The 24,233-nt window shown below is 41.5% G+C and overlaps 1 protein-coding gene across 2 annotated transcripts in view, besides 3 other annotated features; it reads right to left on the bottom strand.

Annotated features, from left to right (window-relative positions):
• The window catches only part of TMED3 (transmembrane p24 trafficking protein 3), a 102,775-nt gene that overhangs the window by 24,062 nt on the left and 54,480 nt on the right, over positions 1-24,233 (bottom strand). The window contains exon 3 of one of the 2 annotated variants that reach the window (NM_001301203.3): positions 5,086-6,857. The exons of the other annotated variant lie outside the window; for it this stretch is intronic. Coding sequence (NP_001288132.1) covers positions 6,807-6,857 — 51 coding nt within the window. The 3' untranslated portion in view covers positions 5,086-6,806. Of the gene's footprint in view, positions 1-5,085; positions 6,858-24,233 lie in introns of those variants that run through there. 2 annotated transcript variants of the gene reach the window in all.
• Positions 8,349-8,558: an enhancer, noted in NCBI's record as "active region_9932". NCBI's record gives its function as "activates an Ori minimal core promoter by ATAC-STARR-seq in GM12878 lymphoblastoid cells {active_cell/tissue: GM12878}" and the evidence as "EXISTENCE:reporter gene assay evidence [ECO:0000049][PMID:35858748]".
• Positions 8,649-8,698: a silencer, noted in NCBI's record as "silent region_6723". NCBI's record gives its function as "represses an Ori minimal core promoter by ATAC-STARR-seq in GM12878 lymphoblastoid cells {active_cell/tissue: GM12878}" and the evidence as "EXISTENCE:reporter gene assay evidence [ECO:0000049][PMID:35858748]".
• Positions 15,558-16,203: an enhancer, noted in NCBI's record as "OCT4-NANOG hESC enhancer chr15:79665964-79666609 (GRCh37/hg19 assembly coordinates)". NCBI's record gives its function as "activates a minimal SCP1, AML or CMV promoter by ChIP-STARR-seq in primed H9 embryonic stem cells {active_cell/tissue: H9 hESC(primed)}" and the evidence as "EXISTENCE:reporter gene assay evidence [ECO:0000049][PMID:30033119]".

Genomic DNA, 24,233 nt, shown 5'->3' with positions numbered 1-24,233 from the left:
GGAATATACCCAACTAAGGAGGCAAAAGACCTCTACAAGAAAAACTAAACACTGCTGAAAGACACCACAGATGACATCAAAAAATGGAAACACATCCCATGCTCATGGATGGGTGGAATCAATATTGTGAAAACGACCATACTGCCAAAAACAATATACAAATTCAACACAATCCCCATTAAAATACCACCATCATTCTTCACAGAATTAGAGAACACAATTCTAAAATTCATATGGAACCAAACAAGAGCCCACATAGCCAACACAAGACTTAGCAAAAAGAAAAAGTCTGGAGGCATCACACTACCTGATTTCAAACTATACTATAAGCCCATAATCACCAAAAATAACATGGTACTGGTATAAAAACAGGCACATAGGCCAATGGAACAGAATAGAGAACCCGGAAATAAACCCAAATACTTACAGACAACTGATCTTCGACAAAGCAAACAAAAACTTAAAGTGGGGAAAGGACACCCTTTTCAACAAATGGTGCTGGAATAATTGGCTAGCCACATGTAGGAGAATGAAACTGGATCCTCACTTCTCACCATATACAAAAATCGACTCCAGATGGATTAAGGACTTAAATCTAAGACCTGAAACTATAAAAATTCTAGAAGACAACATTGGAAAAGCCCGTCTAGACATTGGCTTAGGCAAGGATTTTATGACCAAGAACCCAAAGGCAAATGCAATAAAAACAAAGATAAATAGCTGGGACTTAATTAAACTAAATAGCTTTTGCACAGCAAAAGGAACAGTCAGCAGAGTAAATAGACGACCCACAGAGTGGGAGAAATTCTTCACAATCTATACATCTAACGAAGGACTAATATCCAGAATCTACAACAAACTCAAACAAATCAGTAAGAAAAAAAACAATCTCATCAAAAAGTGGGCTAAGGACATGAATAGATAATTCTCAAAAGAAGATATACAAATGGCTTGCAAACATAGAAAAAATACTTAACATCACTAATGATCAGGGAAATGCAAATCGAAACCCAATGTGATACCACCTTACTCCTGCAAGAATGGCCATAATCTAAACACCAAAAAACAGTATATGTTGGTGGGGATGTGGTGATCAGGGAACACTTTTACACTGCTGGTAGGAACTAGTACAGCCACTATAGAAAACAGAGTGAAGATTACTTCATGAACTAAAACTAGAATTACATTTGATCCAGCAATCCTACTACTGAGTATCTACCCAGAGGAAAAGAAGTCATTATACAAAAAAGATACTTGCACATGCATATTAATAGCAGAACAATTTGCAATTGCAAAATCATGAAACCAACCCAAATGCCCATCAATCAACGAGTGGATAAAGAAACTGTGGTATATGTATATACAAAATTGAATACTACTCAGCCCGTCTTAAAAAAAAAAACATAATTCTCCTTGTCAACAGATTAAGGGAGAAAAATAACATGATAATATGATCATCTCAAAAAATAGAATAAAACATTTATAAAATTCATCATTCATTAATGGTTAAAGATAAGCTCTTAGTATACTTGGAATAAAAGCAGACTTCCCTTTTATTACTTCCCTATTGTCTAAAGAGATAGACCAAAAAGAAAGAAAAGGCTACCGAAAACATCATAATTAATGGTAAAATACTGAAGGTTTTTCCTTCTGAGATTGGGAAAAAGACAAAAATATTCACTCACTATCACCAGTCCTATTCATCACTTTACTGGGCATCATGCCAGTTTAAAATGGTAAGATAAGAAATAAAATATATAAAGATTGGAATGGAAAAAAATCCTATATTTTCAGATATTATGATTGTGCTCACAGACTGCCCAGAAGTACCGTAGGTGAATCATTAAAAGTTAATTTTAATATTTTTAATAATTAAGAAAGATTAGCAAAATTGTCAGAAAACAAAATCAATTTTACTTCTATATGCCAGCAACAAACAGAAAATGAAAATTTAAAAAATTCTACTTATAATAGCATCAAGAAGTATCAGGTATGTAGGAATCCAGACAAGAAGAGATGTATAAACTCACATGAACAGAAATATAAAACTTTATTGAGAGAAACTGAAAGAAGACTCAGGTAAATGGAAAGGAATGGATTGGAAAACTGTCTTGCAAAGATGTCATTTCTCCCCCAATCAACCTATGGATTCAATGTAATCCCAGGGAAAATCTGAACAGGGTTATAATACTTGTGTGTGTGTATGTGTGTGTGTGTGTGTGTGTGTGTGCAGGTGCATGTGTGTGTGTATTTTAATTTCATTAGATGTTTCTAACATTTTCACGGAAATGCAAACAGCTAAGAATAGCCAAGACACCCATGAAAGTGACAAAGTGAGAGGACTTGTCCCACAAAATGTCAACACTTATAAAGGTTCAATTATCACGTCACTGTAGTATTTGCACAGGGATTGACAAATAGGCTAATGAATGGAAATAAAGAGTCTAGAAACAGATTGACACATATGTAGATATTTGATTCATGACAAATATAAGACTGCAAAGCAGAGGGGGACATATAATCTTTTCAATAAGAAACTGAAATAATTGGGTAGTCATATGGAAAAATCAAATAAAATTGGACCCTTACTTTCTAAAACACTAAAAACAATCCAGGGGGATTATAGACTTAAATATAAAAGGCAAAATTCTAAAGCTTTTAGTGGAAATGCAAGAGACTCTCTTCCTAATTTGGGGGCAGAGAATGTTTGGCATTTTGTAGAAGCCATAATTAGCCAGGCATGGTGGCATGCAACTGTCATCTCAGCTACTCAGGGGGCTGTGGCATGAGAATCGCTTGAGCCCAGGATTCAAGGCTGCAGTGAGCCTGGGTGCCACTGTGCTCCAGCCTGGGTGACAGAACGAGACATTGTCTCAAAAAAAAAAAAAAAGATTAAAAGATTAAAAAGAAAGAAAGAAAAGAAAAGTGTTAGCCATAAACAAAAAAGATTGATAAATTATATTACATTAAAATTTAAAGTCCAGGCACAGTGGCTCACGGCTGTAATCCCAGCACTTTGGGAGGCTGAGACGGGTGGATCATGAGGTCAGGAGATCAAGACCAGTCTGGCCAACATGGTGAAACCCCGTCTCTACTAAAAATACAAAAAAAAAAAAAAAATAGCCAGGCATGGTGGCCCACACCTGTAATCCCAGCTACTCGGGAGGCTGAGGCAGAGAATTGCTTGAACCTGGGAGGCGGAGGTTGCAATGAGCTGAGATCGCACCACTGCACTCCAGCCTGGGCAACAGTGAGACTCCATCTTGAAAATAAAAAAATTTAAAAACTGTTATTCATCAAAATACCCCTTTTAGAGAATGAAAAGCCAAACCTCCAAGCAGGAGGACATATAGTCAAAGAAGCAGCAGCATATACTCAATGAGGAACAATGTAGCATATAATAACATAAAATGATCAGACAAACTTTTTGCTGCAAAGCCCTAGTGAGGTAGAGATGAGGAGAGTGCTCTGAAAAGTGGCCCCTCACCTGCAGAGAGTGAATACAAGTTATTTTGTTTTGTTTATTATGGTCAAAAGCACATAACATTAAATTTACCCTCATAACCATTTTTAAGTGTACAGTTCAGTGGTATTAAATGTATTCACATTGTTAGACAATAGATCTTCAGAACTTTTTCATCTTGCAAAACTGAAACTCCGTACCCATTAAAATCTAATTGCTCCTCCCTCCAGCCCCCAGCCCTTGGAAAATACAGGTTATCTGTAATTCATTCAGTCCTTTAAGCCTGTTTTCTCTGTCTACTTTCTCTGATTCCCAGCCTCCATTATTCATACTACTTTCTGTGCAAATTTCTCCCCTGGTCTAGTGTTGTAGAACATGGGGGTTAAATGAAGACTGTGGATTCTGGTGGACCTGGGCTGAAATCCAACAGTTGTTTTATCATTTGTAAAATCAAGATAATAAATAGTACCTAATGATGGCAGAGGCTGCTGCTATCACACTGGCTGCGGCTGGCACTGCACACTCCATGAAGCCAGTGGGAGCTCTGCCCCTTCTAAGTTGGGGGTTCAGCTCCCCAGGTGCCACTGTAGCTACCCAAAGTGTGGCTGCAGACCCAGGCCTCCCGCTCTAGGGAGCAGAATGGACCCCTGCCCAAACTGTGGCTGTGGATCTGAGCCTACCTGTGCTCTTCGAGGTTGCCAGGAACAGGCAGGATCTGCCCTCTTGGGTGCAGCTGCAGGCACCCAACCAGTGACTGCAGACCTGGGCCTTCCACTCCAGGGAGCAGGCAGGAGCCAGAGACAAGCAGGAGTCCTGCTCCTTCCAGCAGGGTGGGATGGGAACTCCCCAGGTGCAGCTGCAGCCACCTTCCCAGGTGCAGCACCTCACAAAGTAAGATCCACTGGCTTGACATTCCAGCCAGCCACCGGCAACTGGGTGGAGCCTGCTTGAGATGGGATGGAGCCCCAAGAATTTGTGAGGTGCTGTGGAAGTGGGACCCACAGAATCAGCTCCCTGGATTCTGCCCCCCTTCCTAGGGGTAGGTGCGGACCTCTCACCTTGCCTGAGTTAGACACATCTGATGGGGATCCCAGGGCCAGAGTATATAAAGCTGCTGGGTCTCTGTGCATGCCTGAGCAGTTACTCTGCCAAGACTCCACACAGTTCTGTGTGTCAGCCCCAGGGCCTGGTGGTGTGGGCTCACAAGGGCATCTCTTGATCCACAGGTTGCAAAGATCCGTGGGAGAAGCATGTTTTTCCAGGGTCACACAATCACTCACCACTTCCCTTAGCTCTGTGTCACTCCCAGGTGGGCCATCACCCAACCTTGCTCTTCTTCATTCTCCATGGTTAAGTTGTTTCCCTAATCAGTCCCAATGTGAGAACCTGGATATTTCAGTTGAAGGTGCTGTATTCACTCACGCCTTTCATTCCTCTCCGTGAATGCCACGGACTGCAGCTGCTTCTAATTGGCCATCTTCGCCCCTCTGCTGTTCATTTCTTATACAGATGAGGTCTCACTATGTTACCCAGGTTGGTCTCAAACTCCTGGGCTCGAGCGATTCTCCCACCTCGGCCACCCAAAGTGCTGGGATTACAAGCATGAGCCACCACACCCAGACTGGGTTTTTAAAAATATGTTTTATAAGGTAAAGGTCAAATTTTATTTGATTTTTCTATATGGCTACCCAATTATCTGCTATTATATCCTACCTTCTTCCTACAATCTCATCACCTACTTGAGTATACACATGGTAGACAAGAGGGGAACTTTTTGAGTTTGATTTCTCTTTGTCCCACCAGCTATACTGCCAGGGAATCACAGCATAGTCTGTGCCTCTTGGCATCGCATATGAAGCCCTTCCCTATCTAGCCCTTGCACCATTTCCAGCCTCATGTCTGACCAATAGACTCCCCCAGCTGCATAAGGCCCCTCATCATTCCCAGATGTGCCACACTCTTTCCTATTCCGACAATGATGTATATATCTTTGCCTTTACTTGTGGCATTTACACGTCTACTCATTTTTCAAGATCCTACTCAAATATTACCTCTTCCAAGAAAACTATACGAATATCCCACACTACTATTTATTTCTACCCTGTTCAGAATCCCTCCTATCCTTCAAGTCCTTTGTTTAGTATTAATCACTGCCTCGAGAGAGTTCTGGAGGTTTTGGACTGTTGAAGGAAAGGGAAGATGTACCTTATTGGGTACCTGTGACCTTGCCAATGTTTGAGAAGAAGCTTTTAGAACCTCTGAGCCAGCTCAGGTCACACCACCATCTCCATAGGAACACTGAATTTCCTCCCACAGTTTTGCTTGATGGAACATCCAGGAGCTCTTTGATGATGGGAGGTAGGTTTCTCCGATCTCTTCTCTGGGCTGAATCATGCCCCAGAAATAGGGCCATGAATTATTGGGGTCTTAGAGCTTATGCAGTAAAGGATTAACCCAAAGAAAGTTTTGGCTCTTTACCCCCAGTTTCTGGAAGGTAACATTTAAGCCCTTGGAATGTCCTGGCTTTCAAAAGTGTCTTTATAAACCTAGGACCTTGGGCCATGCCAGATAGTCTGTACTAACCATAAGATTTATGGTGAGGTCCTTGGACAACACAACATCAGCTTTATCTCTGGAGGGGCTAGAGATCAAAGTCAGTCGTATGGTGGCTAGCCATATCTATGTGACTGATTCCTCAATAAAATCTCTGGACACTGAGACTCAAGTGAACTTCCCTAGTTGGCAATACCCTAGGCATATTGTCACACATCGTTGCGGGGAGAGATAAGTGCAGTCTGTATGACTTCACTGGGGAGCGACAAGTGGGAAGCTCCATTCCTGGTCTCTCCTAGACTTTACCTTTTGTACCTTTTCTTATTGTTGATTTTCAAATGTATTCTTCTGCTCTAACAAACTGTAACCATGGGTAAATTGGCTTGCTGAGTTCTGTGACTTCATCTAGTGAAACTCTGAACCTGAGGATGGTGTGAGGGACCTTCCAAACTTTCAGAGCTTCTACTCAATACATTTCTTTTCTCCATCTAAGGGCACAAAGGATCAAATAGATATAATCTTCAACAGCCTTAAGACATTTTCCAAAACAAGATAGCAAAGGCAGCCACATTGGAAATCGGGTAGCTGGATGGTCCCTGAAGATCAATGACTATACTGATTACCACGTAAGCAATAACTGGTGCAGGTGAGAGTGGACAAGGCAGGAAGTGAAGTGCACCATGGCAGTAAAGCTGTGGGTACCTGGCGATCTACAGGCAAAGAGCCATGTCCCGTGGAGCATGCACAGGAGGTAAACAAGCAGTTGGAACAGGTAGATCCCAGATGGTGATCACACTGGAACCCTTAGTGGTGGCGTTGGTGTTGGTGAAGCACTGGGACCCTTGGAAAAGAAATAAATCGTGTTTATGCCCTTGTAATTGACTTTGTCAATGGGAATAAAGACTATATTGTGTTGGTAAGAACAATAGTATGAGATACCCATGAAAGATAATATAAAAGAAGCTTCCCTGCACCTATATCTGAAAACACTACTTCACAAGTAGATGATCTGATTGAAATTCAGGATGAGGAGTGGCAGGAAGGATAGGTGGCTGAAAAAGCCATTAGCCATACTGGTAGAAGTTCAGAGTGAAGTGGAGGACATAGAGAAAGGGATTAAGGTTTCCAGCCAGGAGTTTAGAGGGTAGAGGTAGTGAACTTCTGAGCCAAAGGAGCTGAGCACCCAGAAGAATTGTGAAGGGCAGACACAGCTTCTGGTAGCCTGGGGAAGGCCAGAGGGCCACTGTGGGATAGGTGCTGCCAGTGCAGGCCAGGCATCACTGGAAGAATGACCTCTCCCTTTGCAACAGAACTTTAGCTATGCATTCTGGCATTGGGCTCATGTGGGTATCAGCAAGTAGCAGCTCCAAGCAGGTACTACTGTCAGCCAAGAGAAGGTAGGGCTAGTCACAACTATTTTGTTTTTCAGTGAGGCAGAACACAGAGCAGAGTCTGGGGGTCCAGCCAGCTTATAGCCTCCCTAGAAAGTTCCTTCCAGGAATAATGCCTGCTAAGCTGTTCATTCCAGTTCAGTTCCTCAGTAAAGAGTCAAAACTCAACAGTACCATGAACCCATGACCTGCGCATGGCTTGCATTGTGGCCTTGATGTCTATCTCTTCCTAGGACAGGCCTGCCATTCATGTTGCTGAGGACTGCCGAGAGGATGGGGTGATCTTCATGTCCATAGCTGCAGAGCACAAAACCCAGAAGGGCAGAGACTTCTTCCTGCAAAGTCCAGAAAAATCTAAGCCCTGTTGAATAATGAAGCTCCGCTCAAGCAGCTACTTTGTACACAATGCACATGATTTTACTAATGGGGAAACTGGGGCCCCAAAAGCTTAAATTGCTTCTTCATTAGTGATAGAGCTGGTCACCTCTAGGCTGTGATGCAATATTTTTAAGTCCATATGGATACTTCTGACAGCATTAAGACCCCAGTGAGCTCTGGAAGGAAGAAGGAAGGTGCTTTGAGGACAGGAAGGGCAGCTCTGACATTGTTAAGTCAACAGTCTGAGTTGACTTTGCAATCACAGGACACACAGCCTTTTAAACCAGTGAAAGAATCAGGCAAATGCAACTGTTTATCACCCCAGGGGAGAGCAGGTAGCTCTAATAAGACCAAGCCAGGTGAGAGTGGCTCCAATATGATTTGTCTTCTTTTGTCCCTGTTCTGATGAGATACCAGGTTAAACCTGCCCTCTCAGCCTGGGCACCACTGGGCAGGGGAACAAACCTCTGTGACATTTAGCACTTGTTCTAGACAAAAGTTGCCCAAAAGTGCTAATGGTTCAGAGGAACAATTAGGAGTTTGACTACAGATCACCTGCTACCTCCTTACCGCTCCAGAGGACCTTTTAACCTTCATCCTGTTTTGCTAAGTGTGCATCTCTCAAGCTGTTCATGCTGAAGTGAGCAGAAAATGAGACTAAGAGACATTCACCTTAGCTTCTGTCTGTTGTGGGTTTGTCTCCTTTGGTTCATGGGGTCTGTGTGCACTCTGCCTTGGCTCAGGTTCATTTGTTCAAGGCTGTTAAGGTTACAGACTTAACTGGGTTTCTTTCCTGCCTTAGAGCCCACCAACAACTAGAGGATGCTGCCACCTGGTGGTAGCAATCGCCTTGCATGGGACTCTATACCAGTGAGCATCAAATTGCACTAAAAAGCTAAGATTTTGCAAGAATACCCCTTGCACAGAGACTTGGAAGGGAATCAATTTCCAGGTGCCTCGACTGTCATTCTTAAAATCTGCCTGAAAACAGATTGGAATGATCAGATACAGTCTCCTTGCCCATCTTCTCTTTAAAATGGCATTTTTGGACAAAAAAGAAAGACACATCCTTATCCATCCTGAATCTTACTATTGTGCATTGCCCTGAGCTGTAAAAAAACTGCAGGATGTCAAAGGGACAATTTAAAATACTGTCTTCAAGGACAACTCCATTAGTGATTAATCAAAGCATCATAGGCTTGTCTAGGATTTGTCTGTGTCTGCAGGTCTGGGAGATATTTCTGTGAGGCTAAGTGAGACATCGGAGCCTATGTTGGCCTGTGCTAGAGTGTTCTGAATTTGGATATATTGTAGAGTACCGCAGTGAAGGGTTTCACCTCTTCCATCCCCCAAATATTGCCAAGTAGAGCAGCACTCTTGAGGGAGAGTCCTCTGAAAACATAAAAATGAGCCCCAGAAAATATACCCTCTCTCTCTCTATATATATATATATATATAAAACTATATATATGTAACTACATATATACAACTATATATATAACTACATATATATAACTATATATAACTATATATATAACTATATATAACTATAACTATATATAACTATATATAACCATATATAACATATATAACTATATATAACTATATATATAACTATATATAACTATATATATATTTGAGACTCTCTTTATATATATATGTGTATAACTCTCTCTATATATATATAGTTGAGACAGAGTCTCGCTCTGTCGCCCAGGCTGGAGTACAATGGCACAATCTAGGCTCACTGCAATCTCCACCTCCAGGTTCAAGCGATTCTCCTGCCTCAGCCTCCCGAGTAGCTGGGATTACAGGTGTGTGTCACCACGCCCAGCTAATTTTTGTATTTTTAGTACAGACAGGTTTTCACCATGTTGGTCAGGCTGGTCTCGAACTCCTGACCTCGTGATCCGGCCCCTCCCTCAATATTTAAGTGATTGCTTTTAGACATATATATACCAAGGACCTGCACATCTTAGTGATGCTGATACTTTTAAGCATGATAAGAATGTTTTCTGAGCTACCAGAATTCTCCAGTGTACACTGACTCATTCCTGCAGATAAAAACCTTTTGTGATCTTTCAGATTTGGTGTGTTTCATTCAATAATATAGTTAAAACCTATCACATAACACATCATATTATGAAATATTTATTCCAATTATTCTGCCATTACCTTATTTCAGCTTATAAAATGTTTAATATTTTTCTCTCTTTTTAAGAAAAAACAAAATTATATGCTAGCTGTCAGACTGATTCATTTATACACTTTCATTAAATACATAAGGAAAGTTTGATCAGTATATCTAATGTGATTAATAATTTCTGACTTTATACATGGTTCTTATTTGTTAATTATTTCAAAAAGCTAGCCACCACTGTTTAATACACAAATACATACACATTTTTCAAATAAATGCCTCATATACCTAGCTTCTTAAAGAACAAATTTTAGCCACACTTTACATCGCAGTAATATTAGAGTAATTATTAGATATATATCACTTCATTATTGATTGCTCGTAGTAATATATCTTACAAGATGTGCTTTTAAGTTATTCCTTAATTGTTCTTTGGAAAATACTATTTTTTGAAACACATATTGAAAAATAAAGTCAATCCTTTCTAGTTTTATTAAATAAAGAAAGTAAACCTAATGTGACTGAATACTTTGCCAACAAGAAATTGGCTTTGCTCATTAGGTTATATAGAAGATATTTTCCATCAACTGAATAAGCTAAATCTGCAGTTCTAAGATTTCAATAATGATAAAAATTATTTACAAAGCAGGCAAGACAATTAAGACATTTGATAATATTGGACTGACAAAGGCATACTGAAAGTAAAATTTTAATTTTCCCCACTCTTATTGATTAAATATGGTGCCTGTGAGTAAAGGGGCAACAGTATAATTAATAGTCACTTAATACATGTTGGTAAAGTTTTTTGGTTATATGTTCCAGGAATATAAATAAGAAATCACTTTATGAATGGGAAACATCATTTGAAAATAAGGTGTTTTCCAACTATTTGATTTCAACAACATTGCAGAAAGACCTAATTACGTCATCAACTGATAATGATAGATAAGTATATCACTTTTGCCATATTACTTAGAATTCCAAGAATTGAGTCACAATTCTAAAACATAATTTCTATTCCCACCTCCATATTTCTGAGAACAAGGTTTCTCAGTATTTGTATCTATAAAAATGAAAAAATAGAATAGATACTAAATCATATTACATTTTGGCCATAAGTAAAATTAATCAATGGAATATGATAATGTTTTTGCAAGCATTCATCTCATTAAAAGAATGTATTTACAACAACCTTCCCCTTTTATGTTGTAGTTGGCTGCCTGCCCACCTGTGAGCTCCCATGCCTCATCCTATAGTAGAAAGTCCTCCCTAGAAAGCAGCTGCTCACCCAGTGACCTTAGGCATGTCATATGGTCATGTGACTACTTCTCACCCATAGAAAGGAAGCAGTCACAGTGGGTGGAACTTCCAGGCCAAGGCTCTTAAGAAGGTCTTCCCTATACAATCCTCTTCCTTCTCCAGCTGGATTCTGCTAAGATGACAAGGCGCTCAAGGATGGAGAAGCCATAAAATCAAAAGAGGCTTGAGTCTCCGAATCACTGGACAGAGAGCCACATACCAACTAGAACATCCACCTAAGACTGGAAAATGGGCCAGAGATAAACTTCCATTGTGTTAGGCCACTGGAATTGGGGATTTGTTTAAACAGCCATCCCTACCGTAAATAACACAATACTCAATAATGACTTATCAATATTTATAATACATCTCTGTTGCTTTTAATAAATATATGCTAGTAATGAATTGTATTAATAATTCAATCCGGAAGAATTTTTAACACTTAGAGCCTTATGGTCATAGGAAATTGTTTAGATGTTTAATTTCAATTTCCATTCGTAATTTTGATACAGGGAATTTTGATGGCATGACCAATAAATATTAAAATGTATTATAGCATAAGCTAAAATTATGTATTGGAAGGGATGTGGCAAAATAAATTCAAGCAAATAAAAGGATGATATAAAACTTTTTAACATTATAGAACAGTTTGTTCAGCCGGGCGCGGTGGCTCACGCCTGTAATCCCAGCACTTTGGGAGGCCAAGGCGGGCGGATCATGAGGTCAGGAGATCGAGACCATCCTGGCTAACACGGTGAAACCCCGTCTCTACTAAAAGTACAAAAAATTGGCCCGGCGCGGTGGCGGGCGCCTGTAGTCCCAGCTACTCGGGAGGCTGAGGCAGGCGAATGGGTGAACCCGGGAGGCGGAGCTTGCAGCGAGCCGAGATTGCGCCACTGCAGTCTGGCCTGGGCGAAAGAGCGAGACTCCGTCTCAAAAAAAAAAAAAAAAAAAAAGAACGGTTTGTTCATATGCAATTTTTAAAGATGATCGTTTGCCTTAAGTTGCTACCAGAGTCCTTCACTACTTCTTTAAAAATATTTAAGACTAAAAATCTATGCACTATGGTAGATATTTTAAAAAGTTATTAAAGCATGAATTGGCAAGTGACAGATCTGTATCTGAAGTTAGAGACATCTTTATAATCATTCACTACATGTGCATTTATTGAATACTCTCCATACTTCAGACACTGTATTAGAGACTGTAAAAGTACAAAAATAAGACACACCTACACTCAAAACTCCCTCCCCACACCTGCACTTGAAAATCCCTCCCCACATTCTCTCTCTCTCTCTCTCTCACACACACACACACACACACACACACATGCACACACTCTCCACTTAGGGTTTGCTATTTTGAATACCTAGGATGACATATCCACCTCACCCTAGAAAGTAGGCCCACTGTAGAAAAGAAAATAGGCCCACGTGAGCAAGAAAATGGCTCAACCTAAAATTGCAAATAAAAGAGTGATCTTGTTCATTTAGATATTCTGTACTTTTTTATGACACCTGTAATACCTGTAATCTCTGCTCCCTGGTATCCCTCTAGTTCTTCCCAAAGTGGCAATGCCAACAGCTAATTCCAGGTTTTCTCAGCTTCATGAAGACCTACCAGTAAGTAGTCACAGTCTTGACCCCACCTCCCACTGACTGAAGGAGCCACTGAGCACATCACGTACCTGAACTGGCCTTGTTACCTGAGGCTATTTGAATGGAAGTCTTGGAGGTCTGCAAAAACTACCAAACTGACCCAAATCTAGACCAGCTAGATGATTCCAGGAAGGGGGAACAAACTCTGAGCACCAACTAAAAAACAATAAAACAAACGCCAACAATAAAAATGCTAAACAAAAGATATTTTGAGGTTATGATGGATAGTAACCCAATGTTAACAATTCAGTGAGACTGCCAAAAGGTTAATGCTATTTTAGAGACATTAATGAAAGCCTAGGTTCCAGAACAAAGGAGGGGTTGTTTTTCATCTATCTGAGCTAGTCAAATAACAATTGCAACAGTGTGTTCTGCTCTGGGTAACACACTCTGCAAGCAGCCCTGACAAATTAACACTTCCCCGTAAATTCTCTCCACCACCTCCACACAAAGAAATGAGTAGTTATGGGATTAAAGTGCGAAATAAGTGGGGTGGGACTGGGGTTGTTTTTGTAATTCTGGGGTTTGCAAAATCTTCTGACATTGCATAACTCTCCTAAAATACAATATGCAAAATGACCAATAATATCTATCTCTAATGGCCTCTGCCTCTACTCTTATTTAAGTTACCCAAGAATGCCAAAAGCTATCAAACAGGGTTCTGATCTTCATAGCATGGTTTATACAAATTACAGAGTGTTATACTTTAACTTAAAGAAATCTTTCTCTTGCGTGAACCCGGGAGGCGGAGCTTGCAGTGAGCCGAGATCGCGCCACTGCACTCCAGCCTGGGCGACAGAGCGAGACTTCGTCTCAAAAAAAAAAAAAAAAAAAAAAAAAAAAAAAAAAACCTTTCTCTAGAATAGATGAAGTAAGTTTTGATACGGTATGTCACCTGACTTGGAAGTGATAAGCAAAGGAGGCATAGTAGAAGAGTAAATCGCTAGGTTAAATAATCCCAACTCTAACCCTATGTAGCATAGGGCTGCCATATTTTTGCCCTTCACCTTGGATGCAGAGGATGACAGGACAACAGGTCTGACCATCACCACTCACCTTCCTTCTCTGAAAGGCTTCTGATGTCACATAAAATCATGCACCCTGAATAGTTCAGATGTGTGTCCCTGCCCAAGTCTCATGCTGAAATGTAATCCCCAGTGGTGGAGTGGAGGTGGGGCCTGGTGGGAGGTGACTGGCTCATGCGGATGGAGTTCTTATGAATGATTTAGCACCATCCTCTTGGTGCTGTCCTTACGATAGTAAGTGAGTTCTTGCAAGATCTGGTCATTTAAAAGTATGTGGCACCTCCTCCCTCTCTCTCTTGCTTCTGCTTTCGCCATGTGACATGCTTGCTCCCACTTTGCCTTCCACCATGAATGGTAACTTCCTGAGGCCTCCCCAGAAGTGGATACTCTATAGCCTGCAGAACCGTGAGCCAATTAAACCTATTTTCTTATACATTACTCAGACTCAGGTATTTCTTTATAGCAATGTGAGAATGGATTAATGTAAACTCTAACCTCTCCAGATGACAGTGGAATTTGGCCCCACACAATACTCTCATTTCCCAACCATCACAGAGGAAGTCCCTGGGAGTAACCAAGAAAGAGATAGGTAAACACAAGGAATGTTAGTTGTTATCCAGACAGAAGGAGACCAAGCAGAGGTGGGACATTGTGCTAATTGGTGGCCTGAGGAGCATGGGACAGACCAGACCCTCTCCTCCTTCCTGGTCAAGGCCCAGCATCAGAGAACTGGGAAGTTGCACCTGGCATGACAAGGATTAAAGGGCCAGAGGGATGCTGCTGATAAGGGCCCTTTATATGAGCCTTTTGAGGCTTTGGGGATGAGACATTTTTTCAGGACTTTATGGAATTCTGAAGGTTATGAGAAGCTACGAGTGTATCTAGCATTGTGAAGACATAAGATTAGCAATTTAAGGATGGCTTTGTTGTGAAGTCTTTAGGGAGGAGAAAGACCTTCATGTATCTGCTCAGCAACCCAGGATAGGGAATCAGAGAAAAAGCTTGCTCTAGGAATGAAGTACACTAGTCTATTTGAAGCATCTCCTAGACTGTGTTTCTTGGGGTCCAGAATCCAAGGGACAACTTGAAAAAGGAGTTATGGCCCAAAGCAGAGTTAATGTGATCCACCTGTTTGCCCTGGTCCATTTGCAAATTAGCTTGAACAAGAAGGCCTTTATAATTAACCATGCTTCATCCAGAAATATCCCTAACCCCCCAAGTCCTTGTTAATCAGGTAGACAATTTGGCAGGCATTTGGCAGAGAGACATTGGGGATGGGAGAGAATGTACTTGCATTTCGTCAGTTTCCATCTTGACTTTATGCATTTTTTTCATGTGGGAATTTTTAACTGAATCCACCTAAAGTTTAAGCAATTTCCTGCCCAACAGATCCTAAAAAATAATCTTGCCTCAGGCAGAAAAGGTCTCAAACATAAACCAAAAAATAAAATTCTAAGCCCCCCAACTGACTGAATGGACTCCTCTTGGCCAAGGGCATTCCAAAGTAAACCTAAAAAATTAGTTCAGGTCATGATAAGAAGAGGGGACATCCAATATGCCTCATTATACTTTCCTTCCTTTGGAATTCAGGCACAACTTACTAGCATTAAAATTAAAACAGAGATCCTAAGACTGACAAAACAGTCTCTTTGTAGCAATAAGATACCAAATTCCAACCTGACTCTAGCATAGCATCACATGGCAGATAGCAGTCCCCGGAAGAAACTGAAGTATTTTACCCTAAAATATATTTATTTGACATATTTTGAAATAGCCCTGCAACGTTACAGGGCCACTGGGGAAAATTTACATTCTGAAGAGAGTCCCCTTCTTTTTCCAGGTCTTTCCCCTTGATCCAGGAGAGATTTAACTAAGAGATTTAACCTTTAAGAGTCTGATAAGAGACATTTACTGAACCTTGCTGCCTGGAGGCTTCATCTACATAACAAGAACCTTGGCTTCCACAACCTCCCTTAACTTAACTACAAACATCTATTCCTGCTGATTTCAACTCTTCAGGCAGACCTTAATCCTTTCAACCAACTGCCAATCGGGACATCTTTGAATCCACCTATGACCTGTAAGCCCCTGCTTCGAGTTGTCCTGTCTTTCCAGACCAAACCAATGTGTACCTTACATGTATTGATTGATGTATTATGTTTCCCCTGTATAAAACCAAGCTGTAACCCAACTACCTGGCGTGCATGTTCTCAGGACCTCTTAAGACTGTGCCTCAGGCCTTGGTCACTCATATTTGGCACAGAATAAATCCCTTCAAATAGCTTACAGGGTTTGACTCTTTTGCATCAACACAAACCAACTATATAGACCATGAAACCCAAAGCCGCAGCATCTCAGAGAGGCTGTCTGTCTTGAGGCTGTCTCTTGCTTTGTATGCTGAGTCTGTCCTCATACCAGTACTTAATCTTCTGTTCATTTGCAGGAATGAAAGGGATAGATGATAAACTACTGTTGGGAGGCGAGGGAAATTCACTGAAGGATGGGCTTGCTCACATTAAACCATATTTATAACCTTTTGCAGTTGAAGACAATTGAACAGCCAAAGAAAATAGCCCAAGAGGGAAACCAAAAAGATTTAAGATGCCTTGATGGAAGATTCTTGACAAAGTTCCCAGACTAGCATAATCCTGTTGAAAATGCAGCCCTTTCTATCCATTACCAAGAAGTTTCTATGAATAAAAGAGATAACAGCCTATGACTGGTCTTATCTGCATGATTAGTGGTGTTTATAAAACACCAATTCATTGCATGGCAAGAGAATAACTATTGCAGACTTGTTTGCAGGTATAAAAATAAAACAGAATCTGCTAAAACCAGAAACACAAGGGCTCCATTCTCTTCTATCTCTACTTATTTGATCAGTCTAGGCTACCAGTGAGCTAGGCTCTGGAGAATCCCATACAGATAAATCAAAAAATTGTGGATCCGTTATTTAAAGCTGATCAGACAAACAAGGAGAAAGCTCATTTTTCAGACATTGCCTGAAATTTGACTTGAAAAGACAGGAACACATTACGGGTATAGAAGGGGCACTGATAAGAAAGGAGAATTCTAAAGGATTCTGTTCAATTCTAACTACCTAGCTGGGAACTGAACGGTAGAGTCAGGGTTGGGGAGTGATATGGTTTGGCTGTGTCCTCACTGAAATCCCATCAGGAATTGTAGCTCCCATAATCCCCATGTGTCATGGGAGGAACCCAGTGGGAGGTAATTGAATCATGGGGGCTAGTTTTCCCATGCTGTTCTGCTGATAGTGAATGAGTCTCACAAGATCTGGTGGTTTTATAAAAGGAAGTTCCCCTGTGCATGTTCTCCTGCCTGCCACCACATAAGATGTGCCTTTGTTCTTCCTTTGCCTCCGGCCATGATTTTGAGGACTCCCCAGCCATGCTGAACTGTGAGTCAATTAAACCTCTTTTCTTTGTAAATTACCCAGCCTCAGATATGTCTTTATTAGCAGTGTGAGAACAGACTAATACAGGGAGGGAGAGGAGAGGAGAAGTCTCAGATATGGAAGATTACAGAAAATTCTGCAGAGAAGGTGAGGACCTTAGAACAATAAAAGTTAATTTCATTCAATTCAACATACCTGTACTTCAACCTCTTTACCTGCATCATCCCACATTACAAATTCTCCACCCTGGCAAAGACATCCACCCCTGCCTATCTCCACCATTTCCTTTGGACCAATAAGCCTTCTACTTACTTTACAACTTCCCTACCTATCTTGGTGAAACTGCCACTGCAGAATTATAAGTAATGAGAGAAACCTAACGTGACTGACTCCATCTTGCTTTTAACCCACAGGCTAAGGTTTTTCTGTTTGTTTGTTTGTTTGTTTTTGCTTATTCTAGCATGGAGGCCAAGAAAACTATGAGAAGAATTTAGTTGATAGTTAAACTTTGAGACAAGGAAAACTGATACCCCTTCTTGTTCAGAGATTGACGCCACATTCACAAGAAAAGGTAGAATTATGGTAGAGGCTTGAACTTTGCTAAAGAATAGGCATAAACAATGACCTGCCACTGCCTATCTTGTTTTTCTGTAAGTTGCTTACTGTCCCCAGAGGTGCATAACCAGAGGTTGCAAAATTTATAACTTCCCCAACTACTCCTATAGATAACATCACTATTGTAAAACCTAAAGAACTGGTCTTGGAAATATTTTTCAGAGTTGGCATTTCAGCAGACCAAGAGATGCCTCTAGTCCTAAGACCCCCCTCCCAGGAACTAACTCAGTTGCATGAAGACAGTTTAGATACCCCTGTGGTTTCATCCCTGGCCCTTTGATGGTTTCAGTTCCCTAACCCCCTGCCCACCAAAGTATCCTTAAAAACTCTAGCCTCTGAATTCTTGGAGAGTCAGATTTGAGAAATTTCTCCCATTCTCCTCACTTGGCTAGAGAGCAATTATTAAACTCTTTCTTTGCTGCAACATCTACTGTTTTCAGTGAATTGGTTTTTTTTCAGGGCAGCAGGCAATAAGAACCTGTTGGGCTGTGACACTGGGGCCCAGGAAGCTGCAGTTCTATCACGTCTCACTGTCACTCAAAAAGTCACCAGCCCCAACCCTCATCAACAAAAGACATTTTATATGGATTTTCTTAACATAGCCACATCTTTAGAGATTTAGATATAAAACTCATTGGTATACATCATGTCATCTAAACCTACTTAGGGACCTCAATTTTAAAATATGCATCCTAATCAATTCCTTTAAGAATACACATCTTTGTGTATTTGGTTTTCTTGAAGTAGGGCCTACTTGGCACACTATTTGGTAAACTAAAAGATACATTCTTGAGTATGTTAGAGTTCAAAACTTAAGGCAGTTTCAAGCATGGGCAGATGACTATTCTTTCAGTTTGATCACTGTCAGATTAGTAACAGTTCATCTGCCTCTCTGGAGAAGTTGGCTGGGAAGACTTTACAGATGCCTTTCACACAAACTGTGACTGAGATAAGCTCAGTGCAGAGCTGTTTGTGTATTCAGGCAATGAAAGTCAACCACAAAGGAGAAATGCCAGACATGACAAGTGAAGCAATATGAGCAGAAGATCCTCAGCGAATGACTGTTTCATTCACACAACCATCAGAAGCCAAAGGACTACAACAACATTCCCTCCCATTTAAGAGCTCACAGACTCAAAACTATATCCACAGGTTCCAGCAGTATATCATTGGATTTCAAGGTCTCCATGTAAAAACTACCCCATTAATAACCGAATTCTGTCACTTAGGAGGTCATAAAATCAGACACAGACATGTGACACTGAATGGCAGAACTAGTTATGAAGAGACATTATCAATCAGTGCCCAGTTAGGAAAACAGAAACCACTCTAGGTGTTTCAGAGTGTTAGCAGTGATGGAAGAGCAAAAGGGGATGGTTGAGGTGAAACCCATGTGACCGGGGAAGCAAAAGGAAAATTGATATTCCCCGGAGCCCATCGCTGGGGCTGATGGAACCCCTACTCCTGCCTGCCCCAATCTATGGGATGCCAGGAGTCTGCACTCCTGTGGAAGCTGCAGGAGCTCTGGACCTACAGTCATCAGGGGCTGCTCCTGCTGGAGCCAGAGTCCAAGCTTTGAGCTGCTGCTGCTATTGCAAAAAAATACAAAAAAAAAAAAAAAAAAAAAAAAATTAGCTGGGCATGGTGGCCCATGCCTGTAATCCCAGCTACTTGAGAGCTGAGGCAGGAGAATCACTTGAATCTGGGAGGTGGAGGTTGCAGTGAGCCGAGATCACGCCACTACACTCCAGCCTGGGCAACAGAGTGAGACTCTGTCTCAAAAAAAAAATGCACATATAGCCTTTTACCTCTTCTTCACCAGACATTCCCTACAGGGCAAGTTCGTCTAACTGTGTTCTCCAAGACAGAACTCTCCTTGAGAATTAACAGTGGATTTATAAACCAAAGCATGCCCACTAGGAAACTCTCAACTTCTGCCCTGCTTGAGCAGAATCCAGGAAGCTGCCCTAGCAGGGACCTGCTATTGCCACTTGCTGGAGGTGACTTCAGATGCAGAAGGGGAAAAAAAGGATCGCCCTTCCTTCTGAGAAACAGCAAAGAGGCCCCTGACAGCCAGGAGCTGGCCTGGCACAGCAGGGCCTTGGTGTTCTGTTAGACATAAACCACTTCACAGAACATCAATACCCAACAGGGCTACTCAGGGCCAATGATGGACCAAGACAAAAACAAGACTACTCCATAATTATGTGTGAACACAGACGAAACATGAGCACTGTTCAAATCATAAAAATGACCTAACATTCCCCCATTCTGGCTAATATTGTAACTGAAATGCGGGTTAGTTGCTTACCGCTTGCAGAGTCCAATTAACAAGAGCGAGGTCTGGTATAAAGGGACTTATTTCCAAAGCCAGCTTAGGGGAAGAAGCACAGGCATCCCACCTTTAAATGTACCACTTTGCTTTGGGAACAGAAAGTGGGCACTTTTAAAAAGCAGGGGAGGAAGCCAGCAAGGTGGCAGTCTGCATGTTAGCTTGGTGCCTTACTTACCAGGCGGTCAAGCTAGTGATAGCTGGCATCTTCATGGGCAGGACTAAGCTGAAAACTACCCAGGTAGGAGAGAGTAGCAGGCATGTTTTTCAACTATTATCTCTCGAGGCAACCCCCTGGTGGGTGAGTTTCCTAGTGGGCATGCTTTTGTTTATAAATCCACTGTTAATTCTCAAAGAAAGTTCTGTCTTGGAGAACATAGTTAGACGAACTTGCCCTGTAGGGAATGTCTGGTGAAGAAGAGGTAAAAGGCTATATTTGCATTTCTTTTTTTTTTTTTTTTTAAGACAGAGTCTCACTCTGCCACCCAGGCTGGAGTACAGTGGTGCGATCTCGGCTCACTGCAACCTGACCTCCGAGGTTCAAGTGATTCTCCTGCCTCAGCCTCTCGAGTAGCGGGGATTACAGCCGTGTGCCACCATGCCCAGCTAATTTTTTTTGCGTGTGTTTTTAGTAGAGATGGGGTTTCACCAAGTTGGCCAAGCTGGCCTTAAACTCCTGACCTCATGTGATCTGCCCACCTTGGCCTCCCAAAGTGCTGGGATTGCAGATGTGAGCCACTGTGCCCAGCCTTATATTTGCATTTCTAAAGGGTTAAGTAGGAAGTGGAAAATCAGGGGAACAAGAAGAGAAAATAATAAAATGATTAAAAATAATTAAACTAACTCTTAAAAAAATGGAGGTGCTCAGTTACAATATGACTGACTACTGCTTCTTTACCAATTACAGTTTTGGCCTCACCTAGTTTTCTCTCCTTCTAGATTAGATTTATTAAGATACCCAAACATAGAATTAACCCCCAATTCCTGGCATCATCTAACATCTCTTCCTTAATTAAACTTTCCCCAAAAACACTGAATACAAGCCCAAGTCCTATCATAGGTCCTTTCTAACACTATCTTACAGAGGTACCCCATAATTCCCACAGTGTGCAAGCTCCCTCACAGCAAGAAGCAAACCCCACCTTTTTCACTAAAGGAGTTCTCAGTGGTCTTTGGCTGGAGCATTAACACTTCCAACTTCCAATCTGCTGCCAGCAAAGTATGTTGGATTCTGACCATCCATTGGGAATTATGATCAAAAAAGCATGAAAGCTTGAAAATAAGCTCTAAGCATGAAAGTAAAGGAAAATCTTGAGTTCCTTCAAGGGAAATTCCAGGCACCTAGCTGGCCCTCAGAAAGAAATAAGGAACTTGATAAGCAAGAAGGTAATAGTAACTTAAAATAATAGCTAAAGAAGCCAGAATCACATGTTTGGTTCTCCTATAGAAACTAAAAACAACATCCTAACATACGTCCCTGAGTTGTTTTTCAGAAACCTGGGTCCCCACCAAATGGATCCACTGGCACTGAGACCCCAGGCAATGGGGAGCTGAGGACTGAGCTCTGACCACTATTCTTTCTTCTAAATTACTTCCTGAGGGGCCTGGATAAAGGTATACTCACAAACAGAGCTAATTCTTTTCTACTGACCTCAAATTTTTCAACAAAGCTTCTCTTCCTTAACAAATTGCAAATCGGAAAATCTTTGAATCTACCTTTGATCTGTAAGACCCTGTTTCAAGACATTTAACCCTTTAGGGCAAAACCAATGTGCAATTTCCACGTATTGATTTATTACTTTACATGTAACTTCTACTTTTCTGAAATTTACCCCTGCCTTTAAAAATCCTGTACCTGCAACCCATCGGGTTGTCCAACAGCCTTTGCTGGCAGCATATTCGGAGATGTAAGTGTCAACACCTCAGCCAAAGACCATCCAGAACACCTGTGGTGGAACAGGTGGGGTTTACTTCTTGCTCTGAGGGAGCTTGCACGCTCTGGGAACTGTGGGGTACCTCTGCAAGAGAGTGTTAGAAAAGACCTATGATAGGACTTGGGCTTGCATTAGGTGTTTTAGGGGAGAGTTTAAGGAAGAGGTGTTAGATGCTGCCAGGATTTGGGTGTCAGGACTGAAGCATTAGCTTCCCAATCTTCCTTGCTTTGTGCCCTACAAATAAAAACCTCCCTTTCTCCCACTGCAAACCCAGTGTGGATCGCTGGTCCTACTGCACCAGGTGAGAAGACTTCAAGTTTGATTTGATAACACCACCTGAGTGCTGGAGTGATTTCCACTTCACTAATCCAATTTTCTATAGTATCCAGTAACCTGCTGACCAACTCTGTTTTAGTTCTGCATCATATTGGACTTTGTTAGGCACCATATGAGATGCATTTGGTTAAAGATGCCTTTAGGTCTCCACCTAAATCCTTCACCCGGAAAGAAGAATAAAAAGCTAATTCAGGACCCAGCAGCTGGGGTCAGGAGAAAATGAAACTTGGTTTATAATCAGCTCCACTTGAGGTAAATATGAATTGAGATTGTGCTGTGCTTTTTGAAAACAATGACCTAGCCATCATTATTCTCTGCAACTGACTTGGAAGTTTCCATCTGATGAGTCAAAACCAGTCACTTGTATATTAATGAAAGAAAAAAAAATGCACCTTAAAGTGCAGCACATTAAATACACAAAGGGCTGCTGGAATGCTGAAAAGTGAAAAAGAGTCCAACTCCTTCCTCAAAGTCACACAGCTAATAAGACATTCACCGTCACCTTGGAGCTTTAGATTTGTGAAGCCATCCCCAGGCTCTGTGCCTAACATTCAAGTAGCTGCCACCACGAGCTTAGCTTTAGGATCTAAATGGCCAGCTTTTCCAAAGATGTGGATAATGGTGAGATGGAGCAGGGACCCCTCTTAGGAGCCTGCTGGGCACTATCCCCGAACCAAGCATGGAAATAAAGGAAAATCTTTAGTTCCTTCAAGGGAAATTCCAGGCACCTAGCTCGCCCTGAGAAGTAAGGGAGCAATTTGATTAGCAAGAAGGTAATAGCTTATAACAACAGCCATGGAAGTTAATCATGAGATGTTTGGTTCTCTATAGAAACTAAATGTTGCGGATGAGCGGTGACTATCTGGGCCAGTGGCTGAGGGGTATAAGAATTTACCAAGGCAGTTGTGGATAAAGAAAGGCAGATTCATTAGGAACATATAAAAATAATGTTGCAAGAGAGCAATGGGCAGAATCAGCAAGAGAGCAGCTGACTGCAAAGAAACAAAGGCTTCCCGGAGATTTTATAGGATAGTTCTTGGGCTGCAGAGTGCTGTGTACAGTACTGATAACGCCAAGGTAGCAGGAAGGTAACTTGCATTCTTCCATCAACCTAGGTGTTTGATGATATTGTGAGCTATATACATTACCTACACAGGAGGGCCCTATGTGCTGGGTCATAAAGAAAGGCAGACCTATAGCTTATCTCACCCTCTTTTTGTTTATATGTCCTGAACCACGAAGAAAGGCAGACCTATAGCTTGTCTGCTTTATCTCTTTGCTTTCCTCTGGTCCTGCCAGCCTGACTCCTTTTCCCTAATTAGGACTCCACACAAGATAACATCTTAACATATGTCTCTGACTTGTTCTTCAGAAACTCGGACCCCACCAAATGGATCTGCTGGCACACAGACCTCAGATATGGAGGGACCGAGAGGACTGGATTCTTGCTGCTGTGAAAGGAAAATAAAAACTTGGAACCCCAAATCTCTGTGCCAAAAGGAAAAAATTAAGCTGAAAGCTGAGTCATGCAAGAAGCTGCCTTTTCTTTTGCTCCTAAGCAGAGAGCTACAGATAAAAGGTTAAATATCTCCACAGATAGCTACTCTACGTTCACCTTATCTTACGTAAAGTGCTGATTTACTGAGCACCAGACAGACACATAATTGACTGTTCCCCTACCTGCTCCTTTTCTC

The sequence above is a fragment of the Homo sapiens genome, chromosome 15, assembly GCF_000001405.40.
Source record: "Homo sapiens chromosome 15, GRCh38.p14 Primary Assembly".
Taxonomy (NCBI): Eukaryota; Metazoa; Chordata; class Mammalia; order Primates; family Hominidae; genus Homo; species Homo sapiens.
The sequence above is the reverse complement of the archived record's forward strand: the minus strand, read 5'-3'. Positions and strand labels throughout refer to the sequence as shown.